Source organism: Homo sapiens, chromosome 7, assembly GCF_000001405.40.
Source record: "Homo sapiens chromosome 7, GRCh38.p14 Primary Assembly".
Lineage (NCBI taxonomy): Eukaryota > Metazoa > Chordata > Mammalia > Primates > Hominidae > Homo > Homo sapiens.
In genome coordinates this window covers 119,744,736-119,769,645 of record NC_000007.14, presented here as the reverse complement: position 1 = coordinate 119,769,645, position 24,910 = coordinate 119,744,736, and the positions used below count along the sequence as shown (strand labels likewise).

Below are 24,910 nucleotides of genomic sequence, written 5' to 3'. Positions count from 1 at the left end.
TTTTTTTCAGAAACCCCATGTCTATGATGGTAATACTAATTTTGGTTCCCACCAACAGTGTGCAAGGATTTTCTTTTCTCCACATCCTCACCAAAACTTACCTTTTATTTTCCTCTTATTAGAGCATGGGAAAAAACCTCCGTTGTAATTAGCTTTATATAGCCATTACAGCTTCTAAAAACTAATTTTAATACAACTTTTATGATACTGTGGTAATTTGACATAAATAAGTTGAAGACCCGGATATGGTTTAGTATCTGAATTAGGCACATAAGGAAAAATACAAATAATGCTTTTATAGAATAATTGTGAAAAATGACCTAAAATAAATTATACAGACGGTCTATCCAAACCACATATTGACTTTTGCATTTGTGATAGCAGAGACTTAACACATTTCAGCATAATATCAATGAAGAGAGATGACTTTTATCATGTAATACCATCCCATAGTCATACTTGCTGGAAAGTGCTATGCATGCATGCTGGCAAACAGGAAATCTCACAAAGCTTCTCTCTCTCTTTTTTAATTAAATAGATCGTGTCAACTCCATAGTAAGTAAAGGCTTCAGGAAGCAAGTTAATTAGCACATATGGTCAAAATCCTTAATTTCTTATATAAAAACTGGCTGTGCTCTGGGAAAAATATAATTATAACTTTGCTTCAAAATTTAGGAATGTACACATACACACAGACTGCACACTTCTGTAAGGACTATTTCATGTAGGATCTCCATGTTGCTTATCAGTGAAAGATTGTGAATAATGATTTCCATAGCATGACCATCAGTTTTGCTTTAAACCTAGACACATGGATAGGTAGGTACATTATGAAGCTTATGAAAACACTCAACTAGAAACAGATGCCACATTGTGGTGGATAGGGCATTTTGTTAGATGAGAATTCATTTAAGTAATATGAGAGTGCTAATTGTGACAGACAGAAGAAAATAAAGAGAAATCATGGCATAGCCATGAAACTAGACTTCAAACGTGAGCAAGGCCTTCTACAAAGTACAGAAACTCAAATAAAACAGTAAGTCATTTGAACTGGGATTCAAAGGCAATTCAGAAAATAATTCAGCACCATCAATTGGATAATCATCCTTGTTCCTTTGGAGATTCTGACCAAGATAGTTGTACTATTAATGTGAATTAGTTTTGTCATGTAGGAGTTTCTCTCTCCTTCCATTGTCAACCATTTCCTGGTATCTCACATATAAATTCTCAAATGTTAGAGCTTTTAGGCAAAGCAATTTCGCGTTCACAGAACAGAGTATAGATTAGCTTCCTATAGATATGCTCCTGCCCCAGTATATTTTACAAATCATTTTTGTTCATCATTAGTAATCCCCAGTTCCTTAACAGCATCTCGTAGTATCAACTGTGACAATTTAGAACTTCTAAGTAATGCCAATATTATACTCACTCGTGGTATTAGTTATTGTTTCTTCCAAAGGGATGTCTTCTAAAATTTTCCTGGAAATTGCCAATGTATTTCTGACACTTTCATTCCATACATTGTGGACCATATCTTTTCCCAATATTTCAAGTTGTATTCCTGCATTGTGTTAAGACAGGTTCCAGGAACATTAAACTTTGGGATATGGATTGTCTCTGTGTCAACAATCTTCCCTTTCTTCAGATTTATACTTTGCTTTTCTTAGTTCAGGACATTCAAGATCACTTCTAGTGATGCTTTGCGAAGTAATTATCCAAGAATTAAAGTGGGAGAAAATATTGAGGAGTACAAGTGTTATATGGTAGAGCAACTACACAGACATCAGCAAAGAGGACCCTGCTATTTTCTAACATTGGGGATGGGAATCAGGGGGTCAGTATATTCAAGCTATTTACCCATATGGCCCCCTCCCAACTCTTAGGGCTTAACTACTTTCATGTGAGGATCCAGCTTGTAAGGTAGAAACATGTTGAGGCCCTGAATACAGGCTTTTCTGAAATTCTGATGGTTTTATAATCAAGTTATGTGCCTGTTATTTAGCATAGTCTGTCTTCCAGCTATACAAGAGGAGCATCTTTATTAAACACATCTGCTTTTATCCCAGACATTAAATTGATAATTTTATGACATTTGTCTCTAAATTTATTTTTTCAATACAAATTGTTAAATAAAATTCTTGGTCCTTATAATTACTATTTGTACATACCTCTTGAATACTAGGATGTATCAAATAATCCAGTGCTTTTAGCTTTTCTCTGATTTCTGTCTTTAGTGCCCAAAACATTTGTGGAATATAATGTTATTTATAAATAAAATAAACACTCTAATCCTTTGTTGCTAGAATGACATGCTCCTCTATTACCATTTCCATTTTATCGGTGAGTGCTGCCTGGCTATTCCATCCTGATTAGAATTTCTCTGCTACATTAGTCATCATGTAATAGTAATTTTGAGTCAGAATTTTGTGATAGGTCAGTGCTAGAAGCTCTTTCTCCCAGAAAGCCCAGCAACAGGCCAGTTATTTTACTTTGAAGGAAATATATTTAGCTGATGTCTCAGGTAACTTGCATCAGAGGTAGAGAACACTACTGAATATTGAAAATAAGCAAACAAAAATGATGATTTACTTGCACTCCAAGCAGCAAGAACTGTATTTGTGAGGCAGTGATTCTTGGGTTCTACAAAAATCTTATAGCAACTGAAAAGTTAGTTTCTTCGTGAATTCTGGAAGGAGACAAAAATGCTCTCTGCTCTTTTATTCAACATTTACTGTAGCAGTAAAATAAAACAGGGATTAAAATAACAAAATAAGAAACAGACTAGTCAATATTAACAGGTGTCATTATTATGTACATAGAAAACTCAGATTAATCTACAAACAACCTACTTAAATACATGAAATGCATTTGAAAACTCAATGTTGTAACAATATTGATTCTTCTTAAGTTTGTCCATGGATTCAGTGACAACCAAATTAACATCCTAGTCAATGTGTATTGTGTGTGTGTGTGAGACTCTGTATTAGTCCGTTTTCACACTGCTATAAAGTAATGCCCAAGACTGGGTAATTTATAAAGCAAAAAGGTTTAATTGACTCACAGTTCTGCATGGTTGGGAAGCTTCAGGAAGCTTACAATCATGGCTGAAGCACTTCTTCACATGGCAGCAGGAGAGAGAAGAAGTGTGTGAGAAGGCAGGAACTTATAAAACCAACAGATCTTGTGAGAATTCACTCACTATCATGAGAACAGCATGCGGAAATCATCCCCATTATCTAATCATTTTCCACCAATTCCTCTCTTAACACCTGGGGATTACAATTCAAGTTGAGATTTGGGTGGGGACACAAAGTTAAACCACGTAAATCTTCTACTCTAAATAATTTTTAAGTATAGAAGAAATCATAACAGAATCAAAATAATACTCAGAACTAAATGGTAAACTTGGCATTTCATGACTGATTTTAAGTAAATTAGTTTGAAGATTTTAATAAAGCAAAGATGCCTATTAACATCATCTCTATTCAACATTGTAAGATGGAGAGCAGGGCACAGTAGCTCATGCCTGTAATCCAGTACATTGGGAGGCTAAGGCAGATGGATCACTTGAGCCCAACAGTTCCAGAGTTCCAGACCAGCCTGGGCAATATGGTGAAACCCATTCTCTCCAAAAAATAAATAAATTAAATAAATAAAATAAAATAAAATAAAAATAGCCGTGCATGGCGGTGCATACCTGTAGTTCCAGCTACACAGGGGGCTGAGGCAGGAGGATCACTGAAGCCCCAGAGGTCAAGACTGCAGTAAACCATGATCTGGCCACTGCACTGCAGCCTGGGAGACAGAGCAAGACCCTTTCTCAAAACAGAAAAACAAACAATGACAACAACAAAACATGGTAAGATACTACCTCTCCAGCATTATCAAAATGGAAATACAAACACAGAATTAGGAAGAAATTAATCGAATTGTCTTTCTTCAAGGGTAGTTTAATTTGCTTCCATAAAACCCTGAAAATCTGAAAATTGCTAGAATTATACAGAAAGCTTAGTAAGGTGGCTATATATAACAACAATAAAAACAAATCACTTGCATTTCTATAGACCAGCAACAAAGTAATATAGAAATCTAATTTAGAAGAGTTATTATTTATCCTGGCAACTAATATCATAAGGTACAAAGAAATAAATTTAATATGGTGTACAAAACTTTAATTAAGAAAATTAGAAGTCATTTTTCAAGAAAGTCAAATATTTGACCAAATGGAATGGAATATTGCTTTCATATATGAAAAACTTCAATGATGACAAAATTTCCCAAAATAATTTAAAGACTCAGAATTCTTCCCATATAATTTCTCAAAGGAATATGAATGAAACTTAGAATGGCAATCCTTAATTATTATTAAGAATAATGGTCCAAGGATACACAAAAACATTTTGAAGAAGAAAATAAGGGATTTTTCTTATATTGTATCAAGATTAATTATAATGAAATAGTAATTAACGCAAGTGAATTTTACAACTTTTACCCTACACACCTTCCTGCTTAAAATTAATGTCTATTAATTTCAATTCTAGTAGTCTCTTTTCAATATTCAGAAAGTATTTTATCCATTTCCTTTTTTTTGCTATACAAAAGTGATAAAAACCCCTAACTCTCTTCTTTATCCAGTGGTCCTGTCCCTGAGATGTTGAATCCTTTTTGAGAACTTTTCCCACTGGGGATACTTTCTGCCCATTTAAGTAATGGTCATCAACCTTAACGAGACTCTAAATATTGTAATCCTGCTATTAAAAATTTCTGAGTTTTCTAATTCTATGTAGTGAGTACTAGATAAAAAAATTCATTATCGTTTTCAAACATTTATCCTATTAACATCTCCCTATATCTTTACCTTTCTTAAAGGAGATGTCCCAGTTTCTTAATTCACGGAATAAAAAAAATCAAGCCATCTTATTCTGTCATGATACCCTTATCTTCTTTCAGCCGTATTACAAGTGTGTAAGTACATTTCCCCAAATTTGATGTATTCCCATGTTTGCCTATACTCCCTACCCTTTCACCTCATTAGGGTCCTTGTACTTTAATTGCATCCCTCTTGATGTCATATCTTCAATTTATCTTATTTTATTAAGTTATTGTAAACAGCATCTATATATTCTGTCTCAGATATAAACTAGTAAGACAAATAACAATAAAATCCTTTTCAACCTCACTCCACCTTGTAGGCACTCCCCGGTATTTGTTCCTTTCTTCAAAACCAAATTTCTGAAATAAATTTTCTATACTTACTATTCCAATATCCTCACAATCAACTTCTCAGTGCACCAGATCTTGACTCCACCTTTCTACTTCAACATAACTTTAATTACTCAAAACTCAAATTATATCCATGTCACTAAATGCATTAAAACTCTTTCACATTGTCATCTTACTTGAGCACTCATGGAATTTGTATTACTTTATTTACCAATTATCTTCTATTTGTTAGGCAGTTGGGTTATTGTAATACCATGATGATCAAATTCATGCATAATTCTTACATTTAAAGCTCACAGGCAAGAGGTAAAGAAATATATTTACCTAATAATCAACGATTCAGTATGTCAGAGGAAAGTTACAGGGTACATTATGAATATAAAATAAGGATAGTGGCAGTCTATGAACTGATACTTGAAAGAGAATTAGGACAAAGAGCAAAGAGAAGAGTATTCCAGGCAAACACCAAAGCTTATACAGTTGTCAGAAAGCTGAGAGAAGCATGGTGAAGCTGCAGAACCCAAAGAAGACCAGTTTAACCACAGAAACAATAGTGACAGGGCACCTGTAGAGAACAGGTTAGAATTACCGGAATAAAATCTGCAGTTAAATGTAGTAAAAGATGCATGTATTAAGCACAGTGCCCAATACTTACCTTTTCTGCTCCTCTTCCTCCTCCTATCCTCCCTTTTCAGGTAGACCCCAGTGTCTGTTTTTTGCTTCATTGTGTTCATAGTTCTTATCATTTAGCTCCCACTTATAAGTGAAAACATGCAGTACTTGGTTTTCTGTTTCTGAGTTAGTTTTCTAAGGATAATAGCCTCCAGCTTCATCCATGTTCCTGCAAAAGGCATGATCTTGATTGGATAAAGAAAATGTGATACATATACACCATAGAATACTAGGCAGCCATAAAAAAGAGCGTATTCTTGATTGAGTGCTTTAATCTGATTATTAAAAATGACCAATCCACACCAAAAAAGAAAACTATTGTGATTGTTTTATTAATCTTTAATTTGTCAAGTGATATATCCTTCTTCTTAGAAATCAGAACAATAATACAGTGTTAAATTTCTCTAGACATCTGAACCCTCATAACATCCTGCCACCTTTGCCTTATGATAGCATTTTATTGCATTCAACATGTCCTTTCATAACCTCTTTATTTGGTAATATAATATGGATAAAAATAATATATAGCACTAGTTTATATTTTAATGAGGTGTAAGAAATTGTCTTTATGTAATGGAGGTCTTAAAGCTACTGTAAAGCAAGCTATTCCAGAAGTTATGGAACAGAATGTATCTCAGGCCAAACTAAAATTCTTGAATGACATAGTTTATAAACTCAGTTAAAACCATATAGTAAAAGCAAGAGGAAAGCAATAGGATAGGATGAAAGATTATACTACCTGAACCCTGGATTATGCAACATTTATTTGTGTGTCTATTTCTCTCCACCATATCAGTCTTTCCAACTGATGGTGGTTAATGGGGACCAGATTTAAGATTTGATTGAGGAGTCCAACAGAATGATTGTACCAACACAAATATACTTTTTTTCCATCAAAGAGATGCCAGGGCAAGCAGTCCTGGTCATAGCTGTAACTCACGAATTAATCTAATGAACAGTAACTGGTAGTTAGCTGTTTCTTGGAAAGAGCCCAGGAGGGGCCAAATTAGAACATAATGGAAGTCACAAGCAGACGGCCAATTTAGGGATAACAACTGTCAGCCCAGTGGTGCAATAATCATAGCCTATGACTTGATCTTTCCCTTTATATCTATTTGAAAGTAGCACTCTTGTTTATTCCACTTATTTCATCTATGTTTAACATGTCTTAAATATTACTAACTTGCAATATATACTTAAGCATATCATGAATTCTATCTCACAGGCAACTTCTTTAAACATTACACACACACACACACACACACACGAGATATTACCTGTATCTCATAAAATACTCGCTAATTTTTGCTTAACACTTAAGTGTTGTATCAATTCCTTGTGTTTTTCTAGTGTTTTTGAGCAGTCATGAATATCCTCAAATAACACTTCAGAGACAAACTACATTTTATATAAATTGTATCAAACTCTCTGTATTATTTGGTAACATTTTTTCTGTATATTACATTTGTAAATTATCAAGATTGTTCTATACATATGTATCTGGATCTTACTTCAAATGATTTATACTTATAAAATTTTGCATCCATCTAGTTAGCTTTTTCATTATATATCATATTTAGACACAACTTTCCTTCTTTCCATCTTCTTTCCTACATTTTCTTCCTTCTTTCTACAAATATAAATGATTCAAATAATATAGAAAATTTTGAAATGGAAAGAATGGTTTAAGACGTTGCCCTACTTGGACAAGTATACATTACTATAGACAGTGGTGAATCAGAGGTGGTGAAACAATTACTAACAGAACATTTTGTTCCAGTTCCACATATTCCAAATCCCCATGGGGTGAAGGAATAAAAGAAGAAAGTCACTCCATATATTTCAGGGTATGTATCAGAGGAGGATAACTCCAAACCTATGAAACTGGGAACTTATATAAGGTAGCTGGCAATCTACCTCTCTAGAGATGAAAATAAATTGATGTTTGCTCTAGATATAAAGAAATGCTCTCTAGAGAGAGCAGAAGGTCTCTAGGTTTATAAACCGGTGAATGTAAACAAATGGCTTCAGGGAAAATTGTTTATAAATCTCTCAGAAGGTCCCTATATTTAATTTCCAAGGCTTGTTTTTCCTTCAGTCATTCTTTAACATAGGTTGTCAGTAATCTTTTCTCAGTAAACCATGAGTGTGAAGAAACGTGAAAATATTTATTGATCATTGTTTCCTGACAGCTGCAACTAGTGTCTTCATAATTTTTTCCTTGTAAATTGACCTTTTATTTGTTACTTTCTTAAATAAATTGTACAAGTAAAAATAGATCACTTTCAACAAGATAAAATCAAGCTAGGTACATATTTATTCCTTCAATATATCAATTACAAAGAAAATAATACAGAATTACTATGGTAATTCTTAGAAGAAATGTCATAACTCTAGATTCCTGTGTGCATTCAAGATTTCATTCATGTGTTAAAAGAATGAGAAAGTTAAGAATATTTGAAAACATATTTTGACACCTACTGTCTTCTCCAGAAATACTTGATGCAATAATTGCAATGAATATACAACTTTTGTTTTACTACCTGATGCTGTGTATTAATTATTCTCAATTGTTGGCAGAGAGAGGTAAGGATAATATGTTTCTTATTCCACAATTTACATAGTTTGAGAAATTGTAGAGCATTATAAAAGTACTTTTATTTCAGGTAAATGGAAAATATGTACCCACTCTTTTTGGTAATGCAATATACAGAAAGGGTACAAGAATATTATTTCTTACTAAAAATACTCGGGTTAAAGAAGAATGAGTAACACATCTATGTACTGCTGAAAGAATAAGCCGTGTTAACTCCTAATTTAACTTAATAAGCTCTTTACTTTTCAAACTACAAGTTTGTTTAAATGTACTTTTCAAAATAAAGTTTGTTTAACTCATGAGAAAGAATTAGAATAATTTATGTAGGAATAAGATTTTCTTCTAAAGTTTCCTGATGTCTGCTACATATTGAATGTTAGGAAGGATATAAAAAGGAAATTTTCAATAGCTTGAAGAATCGATTGCTACTTCTTATCTAATGTATGGTAACAAGAATTGTATATTCCTCATCGTGTACATTTTATTGTGTTATTTCTTGTGATACCATTTTTACAGATATATGTGGGTAAATATAGCTTTCTCATATGCAGATATGCTAGAGCACCCTTTTTGCATGGATACGTAGAGAGGACACAATGAATAGAAATCAGCATTTTGGCTACCAGTTAGATTACAAAGAATTGCATGGCCTGTGATAGTAAAGACAAGCTACAGTGAATAAAGTACTAAGGATAATTCATAGCGGGACAGGCTTCAGATGTATTAACTAAGAGAGTTTTGTCTTTGTGGCTTGTTTTCGGTTGAATTGTATGTCCCGTCCCTAAAATTCATATGTTGAAGTTCTACATTTTGGTACATCTGAATGTCATAATTTGTTAAGAAGAGGTCATATTGGAGTAGGATAAGCTTTCTGATACAATATGGCTTGTGCCCTTATAAAAAGAAACAATTTGGACATACACACACACACACACACACACACACACACACACACACGGAGGGAGTAAACTTTGTGAACATGAAGACAGACATTCACGTGTCAAAGCTTGCCAAGAAACACAAAATAGTAGGAGAGAGGCATAGAAAAGATTCTCCCTCAGAGCACTTGGGAAGAACCAATATTACCAGCAACTGGATTTCTAGACTCCAGAACTGTGAGACTCTATGTTTCTGCTGTTTAAGTCACCTTGTTGTGGTACTTTGTTATGGCAACCCTAACAGTCATATATGACCCCTGTATCTTTTCTTTCTGCTAAGAGTCAATGACATGCATCACCTAATGGGCCCTAGTTAATTCACTTCATGGAAGAGGAGCTGATAAAATGACCTAAAAAAGAACAAATAAGTCAACTTATCTTCTAATCAGATGTTTAATATTTTAATATAAATTAGAGTTTTGAAAGCAAAGATGCAATTATTTACAAAGAACTAAGGTCTTGAGAGAGAAAAGGTGAATGACATTATTTCAACACCAATACTGTCTTTGTTAAAGCAAAATATAATATTTAATCAAAGAGAACTTTCAGTTTACTCTTAACAGAGTTCAGGGAAAGGCACTGGTATGTGAGAGTGAATTTTTCTAGTTTAAAAGGGAGAGTCAGTATGCTTATAGGATAACTAAGGATAAAGATAGTAGCTTATACTTGGGAAGCTGAGACAGGGGAATCACTTGAACCCGGGAGGCGGGGGTTGCAGTGAACTGAGATCGCGCCACTGCACTCTAGCCTGGCGACTGAGCAACACTCCATTAAAAAAAAAAAAAGTAGCTTAATGGAGGTCACTCTTTTTCATGTGGTTATCTTAAAAGGGTTTTTGGTTTCTTCCTCAGTAAAAAACTTTAGGGAACCTCAAACTTCTGAAACCAAAGATACCTATGGCTAGGTTCCAATGGGGTGGACTATGGAAGTGAATCTCTCATAGAAGAGCCCACTCCACACCCAGCAGCACACCAGTACTATTGACTGACAGTTGTTGGATAAAGCATCTAGGTAAGTACTTGATGGCAGCCTCACAGAACACTGAGCATCCCATATATTATGAAAAGAACATCCAAATGTCTGTTCTCTACAGTAAGTAGTGGAGAAGTTTCTGAGAGAGAATTAGAGAATCTATATAAGCCTTAAGTTTGAGATGAGAAAAGTGGGATGACCAGAAATGATGAGGAGATAGGGTTATCACAGAACAATCCAGAATAAAATATGAATGCGTAAGTCCATCAGGCATTTTTTCATTTCAGCAAAAGCCTGATCAGATAGGTGCTAACAAGTGAGAACCAGACTTCTATTGCTAGTTTTATGCATGGGGAGTTTCACAATAAAGAGAGATGTGAAAATAAACTTCCCAGTCTACAAAAAGACATTGGTAAAACAGAACTAAACAAAAAAGTTAATAGGTATAGCTGGAAGAGAATCACATATATACTATACATGTATGTACATGTACAAATAGACACTTATAGATGTAATTCAGAGTATATGAAATTCTGTTAAAACCCAAAGTCTTTAAACTGTTAAAATCATATACCAGGTATTATTAGAATACCTATTAGATAGAGTACTTTGTATACTTTTACATGTTTCATTTCATTTTGCTTTTTTGCAGTTTTGTTATTTGATTCTAGTGAGCTAGTAAGCTCAGATATGATTAATATCATCTGACATCTGAAAATAATTAAACTCTGAAAGGTAGGGATGTTACTTAAAACTGCACTTCTAATAAATCACAGTGGCAGAACTAGCACATCACTTACTGTACAGTGCCATAAAATTGTTAGGTTCCATTAGGCATTTTAAGCCATGGGTCAGACTGAGCCCCTGTTTTAGCTTTCAAAAGAGAAACCAGATCTTTCTCCAAACATAGTGCATTTTAAAAATCTTCTCCAAATACTATTGCAATCAGATTTAGACCTAAGATTATACTCTTTACCACCCTCCTTATAAAAGGAGAAATTATATCTTTTCCTATTAAGTCATAATCCTGTGGGAAGTAGTAATTATGTTGCATATTCTTTGCCCATATTATTCAAGTTATTTGGGTTCTTCCCATTAAGGCTTCTTCTGAATGCAATTGTCATCAAGGGCATGGAGCCCAGCACACGTGAAGTACCATGTCACTCTGCCCTTAACATCAGTCCTTCAAAGACTGGATGCTTATCAATGTACTAAAAACTAGAGAAGGAAAAGGTAACTTGGTCCCAGAGTAACAAAAAATAGAATCAATGTTTATATTTTATTCACTTTAGTTAACAAATATGAAGAAATGTATCTGGAAAAATTACTATATGTGATTTTATCATTCATGAAGAAAATGATGAATAATTCAATCCATAATAATAACATGATGATGATAACAGCTAAATTTGGAGTTTAAAAACTATGTCATGTACTATGCCAAAATTTTACGTGAATGGTACAATTTAAATCTCAAAACTCCTATGAGGATTTATCCTTATTATCATCTTTTTATAGATAAATAAATTAGTCTTGAAGAAATTAAGCAACATTCTCAAGTGCCACATAGTCTGTTCCTGTGGCCACGATTTGAACTTTGATCTATCTGAAGTCAGACTCCAACCCTTAACTGATAAAAATCAATTGCCATATATCCATTATCACAAATTCCTACTTAAAAGTATTTCTTTATTTTTTCTCAATTATTAAAATATAACTCTCAAGTAGTTTAGTGTCATAAAAATGTATACTCAATTTAGTCTTTAGTAAAAAGTGGTAGCTGATATCTAAATTAAAAAAGCAGTATCTGTTAAATTCTTCATAAGTGTGAACTAGTCTTTGAGTTTGTTTAGGTTTATTTATATCTCAACTTAAGAGAATAATTCTGATTACTATCCTATGATAGATAAAATGCTCTGAAAACTAAATAACTTTATAAAGAGCCTCATATTAGAGACTTCAAGTATTCAAGTTTTAAATATACTAGAAAACAATATCAAATACCTTAGATTTAATTAGCTCCAAATTGTAAACTTCCTACAGTGATAGGCTTATTCATATACAAAGCCCTGTTATGGTTTGAATGTCCACTCCAAAACTCATTTTGAAATTTATTCCCCAATGTGGCAGTAATGAGAGTTAGATCCTTTAAGAGATGAATGCATTATGAGGGCTCTGACTTCATGAGTGAATTAATCAATTCATGGATCAATGGATTAATGGATTAATAGGTTATGAAAAGGGAATTGGTGGCTTTATAAGAAAAACAGACCTGAGATAGCACATGAACAAGCTCAATCCCCTAACCATGAGATGCTCTGCACTGTCTTGAAGCACTATGGGGTTCTCATCAGCAGGAAGGGCCTCACCAGAGGCAGCCCCTCTGCCTTGGACATCTCACCCTCTATACCTGTAAGAAATCAATATTTTTTCTTTATAAATTACCCAGCTCAGTTATTCTGTTACAAGCAACAACAACAACAGAGATTAAAGCAAGCACTTACAAACCAAAGAACTACACATTAGTCCCTGGAGGATTAAAATAAGACCATTAAAAATCTGACAACACTTAACAGAAGACAACAAACCCTAGACCTGAAAAGGGCAAATCCAGCGCCTGTCAACAAAAATGATTCAGAAATTCTGAAACTCTGGCATAATGAGGGAGCAGGTGAATCTCTGGAGAATCCAAATCCTGAATTATTTTTAGCTCAAAACCACCACCCAGAATTCTATTCAGTCTGCTGGGTGGGCATCCTCAAAGACGAAACAGATACACTATCTAGTGGCTAGAGCAAATGTGTGTGTGTGTGTGTAGCTACTGATCCATAATGTTAAAACCTGTCAAAGACATTCACCTGAATGTTTTCAGTTGTGTAAGCCTATCTTCCCTAATATTATTTTCAATATATCATTCTGATAAAAAGAACAGTTAATTTCAAGTCTCTCTAACATTTTTCATCTTAAGTTACCTATAATTTTTTAAAGGCATTAAAAATCTTCCCTTTTAAAAATACCATTTTGTTTTTATTTTCTAGGGAAAGTTTGCCTCATTTATATTGAATAAGAAAGGTTGCAGCTAAACCTATCCTTTCTTGCATTAAAATGATAATACGGAATGGTATGTTTTTATCTAAATATGAATTGATTGAGAAGACAAATACATTTCCTGCTAATCTCAGCAAGCTTTGTGAGACTTGCAGGGGGTCGGGCTATTTCTTATGGCCATCTGTGGACTCCTGTGATGTGTTGTGAACAGTAAATTACATTCACATTGACACTGTTATACCTTCATAAAGCATCTTCCATTCTATGACTGGCACTGAAATTAATTTAAAAGTGTAAGTAACTGTCTGCTTTCTAAAATATATCATTTTAAGCCCACCAAAACTACTATGGCTTCTGTTATTCATATTGTAACAGAATCTTATTTTAAACTTTTAGAGAATGGAAATTTTATTTGAATCACATTAACTCTGTACCTAATGAAACAAGGGAAAACTCTAACAGAATTATTTACTAATAGCAATTGATATAAACAGTACTTATTTAAAGCATTACAAGTTAAATATTTATGAATAGCTTGTGGAAATCAGAAATTTTTTATGATAATTTTGTTTTTTATATACATGATAAAAGACCCACTTATATTTCCCAATTCTCTAAAAATCTGTTAAGTCTAAGTTAATCAGAATATCCTGGCCTATAATCATTTTGTCAAGTACAAATGAATGTGTACTATTATACTATTTTTTTCTGTAAAGTATACATCTCCATAAAGACTACATTTTTATGATTTTAGATAATGTACTATAAATAATCTCTTAGTAAATGTGCAATGACCTAGAAAATAGCTTCAGATTTTGAAGACACTTTTAATATTTGAATAATTTTGAAGTAAAATTTTAAAATGAAATTTGTATTAGAATCAAAAGACTGCTAAAAGCTTTCAGATAATTACTTTTAGAAAATATTCTTTTCCCAAGACAAAATAATTCTTACTGGTATTTCTCGAAAACATACCTTCCTCTAGACAGTTTGTTACATGGTTGATTTCTCTTGCAATATAAACTCTTGGACAATGTATATAATCAAAAATTAAATAAATAAAACATTGCATAAATGTTAGCCTTTTTCCTATACTGTTTTGAAAGGACATTTCTGGGAGCTTTGTATTTGTAAAGCTACAGCAGTATTCACTTAGAATATTGTTATTGTGAAAAAACTGACGGAGCACATAAATCTTTGTTCCCAATGGGAAGCTGACTGACCTTACATGATGACTAGAATGCTGTGAGATTTTGATGCGCAGCAGAAATATGACCAGAGAGGAGAGGTGTAGGATCGGATAGTCTGGCAAATGAACTGGCCTCACCTGCCACAATGAGCACGCAATTGTAGAAACTGGAATTTACATAAATCTTGTTCTTTATGTATCCTAATAGCATATTTGTGCTTAGTAGTTTATCAATTTAGGCAATCGATTTCACTAACTCTTCCACAATCACCTCCCCACTTCTTTTTTATTTGTTTACTTTGGTTTTGTTTCTGATTTTTATGATAACATCTTTATTGCTTAATGATCTGGTTTCAATACAGTTAAAAGGGAAATGACAGAAATGAAAATAATCTGGTTTTATTTGGAAGCTAATAAATATTTATTTATACTTGATACAATGACATTGCAAACTTGAAATGCTGGCACTCCAGATAGCCTTAATCTTTTCTTACTGTCACTGAAAATAATTACAAAACTATGGAATGTTTATGCAAAGATAGATGTTAAGAAAATTTCCACTTGCATTGTTTTCTTTTCAATTTTTAATGAGTAGTGACCATGCGTGAACTCGAAATTATAAAAGGACTAACTATTTACCAGCAGGTTAAAAGACAGAATTGTATCCCATTAATTGGTAATTAGGTACTTGCCAGAAAAGTTGCAGTTATCAATACTCATGATGGCTGAGACTAGCCATACACTCACTGCCGGAAAATGCTTTGATATTAGGAAAATTTGATGAAAAGTTTTTGCCTTTGAAATTAATCACCAGGATTGTGGGATTTTCTATAGAAAATTTGAGTCTAGTGCAAATCTCAACTCCAATAGTCTTTCTTCAGCTTCATAACCAATCTCCATTTCTAGAGATTCCATTCCTAAGGAATATCTTATACTCTGGTCTTTCTTCACATAACTTAGGTTATTTTTGTTTCTCATTTAAACACTCTCATAGTCACATGCAGAACTTACAGAGCCAGAATCTACTCCACCATCAAAATCTGTATTTGTAACCCCCTTTCCCCCCACCACCATTCTGCTCACTAGTTCCTAGAGTCACCTCAGTTTTTCAGTTTATTCATATTCTACAATTTTTTGATCTTATGGAGAATTTCAATACATATTCTTCACCATTTTGTCATCATTTATTTAACTCAAGTAGGACTTTACTTTTTCTTCCAAACACCACTTTGGACTTCTCCACATGAATTGAGTAGGACTTTATTTCCTCATCATTTATTTTGTGTATCAATAAGGGTTCAAGAAGAGAAACAGAATTACTAAGGTATTTATCATACATATTTGTGTTTGTGTACATGCATATATACATATACATAAATAGATGATAGATAGGGAGACATATGGATGATAAAGTGAGAGAGAGAAAGAGAGACTGACTTACCATACAAAATTGACTTAAGTGATTGTAATGCCTGTCTAAGGAAGATCAAACCCTATGGACCAAAGATCATAGACAGGATAGAACATATGGGCATTAGAGAAAGCTATTGTTCACAGTATTCAAGAAGCGATCGGGAGCAGGATGGAGCTCCCTGGGCCCAGGCAGAAGCTGTTGTGCCTTAGTGACATCTGCAAAATTCTTCATAGGAACACTGAAATTAGTGCTTAACTGAATGACTAGGACTGTAACCTCACCAAATTGACATATCAAAGGAAAGTCAGTTTCTGTAAAGATACCTGTTACTGCTTTTGTAAAGGTTTAATATAATATACTTGTGAGGTCATTTGGAACTGGAGATTTCATTTTAAAGTTCCAGTAAATTACAAATCTGTTTTAAATAATATGTAGGAATATTAATATTTTAATTGTATTTCTTTGTAAGTTTTATGGATTTTTGATTTTCAGGGAATTTCACTATATTGAGGTGAATTTTTTAATGGTATAATTTATATATTATTATGTATGGCATTGAGGCTAATTTAATGGTATAATTTATATATTATTTTGTATGGCACAAGTTTTCAAATATTCTTGCACTCACTTTTTAATGTCTGTGGGAGCTTTAGTGCTGCTGTTTCTTTGTTTCTCTCCCTCACTTTCTCCGTGTCTCTATTTCTCCACTTGTTCATTCTATCTAGTTGTTTATCTTTTTATTGTTATTTTTATAGAAGCACCTTATGATTTCATTTTTCCTACTTTGTAAATTATCTATTATTACTTTTCTAGATTCTTTTTAAAACCTATTTCCTTCCTTCTGTATACCATGTATTCATTTTGCCCTTAAATTTCTGGCTTCTGAAAAAGCAGCTTAAGTTCCTGATCAATAACTTTCTCTGTTTTTCCTAATATAAGCATTTAAATCCTTAATTTTTTTTTCACATTGCCTTAGCTGCTTTTCACAAATTTTGATATCTTGTGATTTTATTTTCTTTCAGTGGTATTTTCTCATTTTCTTAGCAACTTATTCTATTTTGGGACTATTTAGAAATATAATTCTTAATTCCTCACTATGATGAGTCATTTCAGGTACTATTTTTTTATTGTTTTCTAATTTAATTCCATTTTTATTCATAGAACATGCTCTGCATGATTTCAAACATTTTATGTTTTAGGATTTATTTTATGTCCCAGAATGTAGTCAATCATACTTAAAGTTTTGTGTGTACTTGAAAATAGCATGTATTCTGCAGTATTTCAATGTGTATTAGTATGTATACATATTTGTAGTACTATAAATGGTAATCCAATTAAGCTACTACAGAGTTCTAATAAAAGCTGCAAATCCATCTGATATTTTGCCTACTTATTCTATCAATTTTTTTTTTTGACAGAGTCTCACTCTATTGCTCAGGCTGGAGTCAGTGGCGCAATCTCAGCTCACTCCAACCTCCGCCTCATGGGTTCAAATGATTCTCCTGCCTCAGCCTCCCAAGTAGATGGGATTACAGGCACATGCCCCCATGCCCAGCTAATTTTTGTGTTTTTAGTAGAGACTAGGGTTTCACCATGTTAGCCAGGCTGTTCTCAGACTCCTGACCTCAGGTGATCCACCTGCCTCGGCCTTCCAAAGTGCTGGGATTACAGGCATGAGCCACTGCACCAAGCCTTATTCTATTGATTATTATAAGAAGTGTTAACATCTTGAACTATGATTATATATTCATCAATTTAAGCATATACATTTGATTTTGTTAAGTCCTCCTGAAGAAGTCTGTTTATAATATTAAATATCCTAGTTGATCACTGTTTTAAAATTTACTTTTTTATATATTTTTTTTCACTTAATGTAACTCTGATCAATGCTACTTCAGTATGCCTGGAAGTGGAAATTACAATGTGGATATTTTTAATGAGGAAAAAACTGGCTTTTAATTTTCAAGTGAGTCTTATGTACTCCCCCACATATTTAGACATATATGTATGTGTGCACGTGTGCCTATATATACTTATATACTTCATATATATATACACACACACATATATGTGAAGAGAGAGAGAATATGTATACACACATACCACATTTAGCAAGTTTTTAAGTACTTTAGGTGTCGAGCTGTGAATGAGAAAAAAGAGCAGGGAATTCAAATAAAAATAATGTGGACTTAATATAATTACTGGTAATCTTAGATTTTGTTTCTATTTACTGTTGAATTTTAGGTAAAAATTCAGAATATCTTAGAATAGCTCATCAAATTTCCAGTCCATGATATAACCCAGCCCCATCCCATAGAACATGATACACTGATTTTTACATATTATAGTTCTTTTATATATTTAGTGAGAAGCATTATTTATCAATTTTCTTTAATGTCTTATTGTATTGTGTATTATATAAATAATTCTATCAGTATATTCCTGTTTAAAAATGATTTTTGTAAGGCTTCACTAAGTTGAAATTTCCAGACAAAGAAAAAGTTGTACCGTCCCTTTTTTCCTTTAACGGAATCAAGTAAATCTGAATGTGTTAGTGGTCTACATTTCCACTGAGGATAATTGACAGACACTGAGGTCTCTCCTTTTAAGTAACTGTCAAAGAGTATCCTAAGAGGCTCTAGGGAATATGGTAAGCGATTGCTAATGATGTTTATGTGTCTAAATATCATCCTAACAATGTAACACTCTCCCATTAACAAAATTGTTTCTACAATTACCATCAACATTATTCCAATAAATGTAATCTTGTTATTTCATTATGAAAGTGGTATTTTGTATTTCTTTATAAACATTAATATAAAATGATTTTTTCTTTCTTTAAGCCATTCATGTGTTCTACATAAACTGAGAAAATATTCCCAAGGATAAATATAATTTGTGCTAAATAATCTACTAGGGCCCTTGAGAACAATTTATAAGCTAATCTTTATTTTTTCCTTTACCTAAGAAATAAAAATTTAACATTAAAACACTTTATAATTCTCAAGTTTAAAAAACATATATTTGAAAGCTTCAATTCAGATATATGTACTTAATACATTAAATTTTAACTACATATAGGTAAAACAACATCTATGTAATAGAATATTTATTCATATATATATAAAATGTAAAGTCCATCTGAAATTACTCAGCTTGTTACAAAATCAGATGTTTAGTAGTTATTGTTGTAAGAATAAATCTGATAGTGTGAGCACAGACTAGACTCAAAGATAGATTCATTTATAAAAATAGATTTGAGTCTCTATTGTGTGCTAGAAAATGAAAAACAAATAGGTATTAGGAACCAATAGTAAGAGAGACAAATAATCTACTACTGTCATTGAAAATGAGCTTAAGTTTACACCCTAATTTTTAGGATAAGAAGGCCACAGACAATAGTCAAGGGGCACTAAGAATAATGGGAAATAGTCTGAGTAGAGAAAATGCTCAGACCACATATGTACCAAACACGTACCACATCATATGTAATTCCTGCTAGACTTCATTCTGGACTTCTTATATGCAAGGTAGTTTTATTTGTACACATAAGTTTTATTTGTACACGTAACTGACCTTGAAAAAAAGCAAATTAAATTGCAGAAATCTGAAATACAGAATGGCAAGCAGAAATTCCAATGTTAATAGACATGCAAAAGGCATGACCATGGCTCGGGGCCTGTGAAAGATGGAAAGCTAAATTGGAGGGTCACATGAACCCACAAATGTTAAGTCTATCAATGAAAGTATAAATAAGAAAAGAATAATCACAAAAAAATTAGATGGTAATTGAACTTGGTATCATAAACTTTTACACTGGTAAGTTGAGGAGAAGAAACATCCTCCACTAAAAATTCAAAATTATAAACAAGACTTCATGTTGGATTGCTGTCTGAAGGTCTAAAAAAATCCAAGTAGATAATTTGATTTTAAGAGTTCATGGATTTGAAAATGCTTCCAAGATTTTGGGCAAAGACATTCAAACCTTCTACAAAACAGTTTCACCTCCTACAAAATCCTAAGAAAGAAGAGCCCATGATGGAACATTACAAGACAAGAGAAATTAGTGTACATAACCAAGAGGAAACAGAAATATTAACAGCAGAATCAGCTGCTTCTATTCTTGGGTCCACCTTCCTTTCAGGCTTCAGAGTCCCCTATAGAAACCTAGAAGATAGAGAAAGAGAGTATAAAGGAAGTAAAACTTCTCAATTATCTTTGCTCAAATGTGCCTTTTATCTATATATTTTGCTGCCATTCTATTAATGATTTGTGTTGTCATTTTACTCATTTAAAAAGTGGTGGTGGAGGAAAGCCTATTGGGCTGGCGAATATAATCTCTGACTTGACAAAGATTTTTTTTGTTATGAATACGCTTCAAATTCCTGGAGTTATGCCAGCCATCTCTAGTGTCTGATTGATGAAAATGTTGGAGAAGAAACAGGAATACATGTGCAACTCATTATCACTTAGCAGATGCTATTTTAAAAGTATATTTACAAAAATATTAATGAGACTCAATATCTCTGTCCATTAGTTACTTTTCTCTCATAAAAATTAAAAAATAATAATGATTATCATTTTATCACAGGAATGTTGTGAAGACTAAATTGATGCATATAAAATATTTAATCTAGTGCTGGCTCATGGTGAGAAATACGTATCTTTGTACCACTATTATTATGATCTTTGAGACTCTGTGTTTTCTGGGTTAGTATTTAGAAGACAAACAGGACAAGGGGATGCAAAATGAAGGCACAGCTTGCCTTATACAGGATAGTCCATCAATTCCTCTATTGAAACAAGAGCCCTCTGTCTGATTCCCATTTCTGTGACCTTGTTGACATCTAAGCCTTCAAAATATGATTAAAAAGTCCATCACAGTCCATCACACATGAAATATTGTGAGATAAGTTGCCCCCGAGTAAGGCCAGAAGAATGTTTCTCTGAAAGGCTTAGACCTGATGCAAAAATGTAAATAATTGCTTCACTTGTCATAAGTAGTGACATGAAATCCCACAGATTTTTACTCTAGTTAAGATGAAGTGTTACTATTAATCTAATAAGAGAATTATTAGCATTACAGACATTTGGCATTCATTTCCTAAAAAATTAGCACATAGTTAAATTTAACTAAAGAATTTATTCAGCATTCTGCTAAGACCAGCTGTCACACAATGCCTGGCAATGTTGCAAAGCTCCTATTTGCATGCACATTCACAGATAGTAGGAATCCCTCCACTTTTTATAATGGATGTTGCATTTTTAGTGAAACATCTGTGTTGTCTTGAGTGTGTTATGACTTTTAATCTTTGAGTTAATATGTTTGTAGATGTGTTGTTTCAAATTTGGTTTAATAATTATTTAAATTTGTTTTAAATGTTCAATCTTTAAATATTTGATTAAATTGTTTTCAATGTGATTTGATTTCCCAATGGAAATTAATGTACCTTATTTTGATTATGATCTGTTTAAATTTACACAAAAAAAAGTATTTCAGCAATATTCTTAAGATACTGGTGTATTTTCAGTTGTGATTGTCATAATTAAAGTTCGACTGAAACTTTTTCATTAATAGTAGGATATTTAGTAGCATACATATCTTTGTACCATTATTGTTATTATTTTTGAGACCCAGTGTGTTTTCTGGGTTAGTATTTATGTTCACAGGGTATGAAGTAGTGTTTTATATACATATATATATGTATATGCATTTATATACATATATATATGTATATGCATTTATATACATTTCAAAGTAAATGCTAGGAAAATAAAGTTCTCAGATACAATAACTCAAATTTAATTTTTACATGCTGAAAACCTCCAAAAGAATATTGCACCTACATTTCCAGCTTTGGGGAATTCTGCAAGTTTATTTATTTTCTTTTTAATTTTTTGTCTGTCTACTTTTACCTATTAATTTGGAAATAATCATATATTCAAAGAAAGTTGTGAAGCTAGTACAGAGAAGACCCTTGTACTGCTCATCTGGTTTCCCCCAGTTGTTATGTCTCACACAGTTGTGATATCAAAACTAAAAATTTGACACTGGCAAAATGTACATTCTATGCCATCTTATCATATGTATAGATTTGTGTAACCAGCATCACAATCTACATACAGAATTGTCCCATACCCCACAAATGTCCCTCGTGGTATTCTTTTATAATTGAACTTAGACTTCTCCCCAGCAGATCACTTCTAATACTGGCAAACCCTAATGTTTTTTCAATTTCTATAATTTTGTCATTTGAAGAATGTGATGTAAGTGAAATAATATATAATGATACCTTTTGAGACTGGCTTTTTTTCACTCAGCCTAATACTTCTAAGATCCAATGAAGTTTTTGCATGTATCCATTACATTTTATTTATGAGTAGCAGTTCATGATATGGATGCACCAGGGTAATTTTTAATCGTTTTCACCTATGGAGGAAAATTTTGGTGGTTTCCACTTTCTGACTGTTGAAAATAAGTGGCTATCAACAATTACGTACACCTATTTGTGTGGACATAGGTTTTCATTTCTCTGGGATGAAAGCCTAGGAGGGAAATTGCTGGATTGTGTGAATGGGTGTGTTTAGCTTCTTAAGAAACTGCCAAAATGTTTTCAAGAGTGACTGTGACATTTAACTTGCATCTCACCAGTAATAAATGAGATGTAGTTTCTCTGCATTAGAAACACCATTAAATATTTTCTAGTTTTTTTTTAAAGCTGTTTTAATTGGTTTGTAGTGATATCTCATCATAGTCTTAATTTGGATTTCCTTGATGGCTAATGATATTGAAAAGCTTATTATGTGCCTACAAGCCGTTATATGTACAGTACTTTCAGAAAAATATCTGTTTATGTATTTTGCCCATTTTCTACTTGGATTCGATCTTTGAGTTTTGAGAGTTTATTATATATTCTAGATATAATTTCTATTGTCAGATTTATGGTTTGCAAATATTTTGTTCCAGGTCATACCTTGTTTTTTCTTCCTCTTAGCATGATCTTTTGCAGAGAAAAAAATTCATCTTGATGAAGTCCTGTTATCAGTTATTTTATTTTATTGATAATGCTTTTGGTGTCCTATTTCATCTAGTGCCATACCTTCGCCAAGATCTAGATTCTAAAGATTTTCCACACTTTTAAATCTTCATTATTTCAGATTTTGTATTTAATTCTATGACCTGCTTTGAGTAAATTTTTAAATAAGTTATGATGAGGCAAGCTTATTTTTTATTTTTATTTTTTGCTCATAGATGTCTACTTTCAACATTATTTGTTAAATAAAGCTATTGCCCCTCCATTGAACTGCTTTTTCACATTTGTCAAAAAAAACATGTGGCTAGACTCCTGCAAGAGCATTACTGAACTTTCTATTCTATTAATCTATGTCTTCTCCTCTACCAATGTCATGCAATCTTTGATTACTGTAGCTATATAATGAGTCTAATAATTTTATAGTGATTATATCTTTAAAAATTATTCTAGCAATTAGTTTCTTTACTTTTTCATATATTCTTTGAGAAGAATCTTCCTTATATCTAAAAAACCTTGTTGAAATTTTGATAAGAAATTTTCTTAATCTAACTGTAAGAAAAATTGTCATCTTTATCATGTTGAGTCTTCTGATTCACGATCAAGGCATGTCTCTCATTAATTTAGATATGGTTTGATTTCTTTCATCAGTGTTTCATAGTTTTCAGTAAAAATAACCTAGACATTTAAAAGTTATACGTATTTCATTTTTTAAATAACTAAATAATATTGTAGTGTTGATTTTGTTGTCTACATGTTCATTGCTAGAATATAGAAATGCAAAAATTTTTGTATGTTGATCTTGTACCTTGTGACCTTGCTGAATGCACTAATTAGCTTTACGAAATTTTTGTAGATACTTTGGGATTTTCTACATGGATATTGATATGGTTTGGTTGTGTTCCCACTCAAATCTAATCTTGAATTCCCACATGTTGTGGGAGGGACCTGGTGGGAGGTAATTGAATCATGAGGGCAGGTCTTTCCCATGCTGTTCTCATGATGGTAAATAAGTCACCCAAGATCTGATGCCTCTATAAGGAGGAATTTCCCTGCACAAGCTCTTTCTTTGCCTGCTGCCATCCATGTAAGACATGACTTGTTCCTCCTTGCCTTCCACCGTAATTGTGAGGCCTCTTCAGCCATGTGGAACTGGAAGTCAATTAAACCTCTTTTTCTTCCCAGTCTTGGGTGTGTCTTTATCAGCAGTGTGAAAATAGACTAACACAGACATTTGTGACATCTGCACAAAACAGCAGTCTTATTTCTTCTTTTTGAAACTGTATGCTTTAAATTTTTTTCTTGCCTTGTTTTCCTGTCTAGAACCACTTGTATCAAATAGAATTAGTGGTGAAAGTGAGCATCCTTGCTTTGTTTCCCATATTAGAGGAAAGTCATTCAGTCTTTCACCATTAAATATGATGTCAGCTTCAATTTTTATGTAGATATTCTTTACCAATCCAGGGAAGTTCCCACATATTTATTATTGTTCTGATTTTTTATAATCAAGAATGGATGTTGAATTTTGTCAGAGGTTTGTTCTTTATCTATTGATATGATCATGTGATTTTTTTAAAATTAGCTTGCTAATTTCATAAATTAACTACTTTTCAAATGTGCAATCAGCCTTGCATCCCCAAAATAAACCTAATTTAGTCATAGTGTATATAGATATTTTTGTGTACTAAGTACTATTTGCTAATATTTGGTATAGAATTTTTGCATGTATATTTGTGAGAGATATTGGTGTGTAGTTTTTGGATGTGTGTGTATGTCTGTGTGTGTGTTTTATCTAGTTTTAAAGTCAGGTTAATACTGACTTTAAAG

The 24,910-nt window shown here is 32.7% G+C and overlaps 1 long non-coding RNA gene across 3 annotated transcripts in view; it reads left to right on the top strand.

The window, feature by feature from the left end:
* Nucleotides 1-24,910, top strand: part of LINC02476 (long intergenic non-protein coding RNA 2476) — a 287,946-nt gene that overhangs the window by 137,730 nt on the left and 125,306 nt on the right. The window contains exon 4 of one of the 3 annotated variants that reach the window (NR_131961.1): nucleotides 17,471-18,837. The exons of the other annotated variants lie outside the window; for them this stretch is intronic. This is a non-coding gene — a long non-coding RNA (long intergenic non-protein coding RNA 2476). Of the gene's footprint in view, nucleotides 1-17,470; nucleotides 18,838-24,910 lie in introns of those variants that run through there. 3 annotated transcript variants of the gene reach the window in all.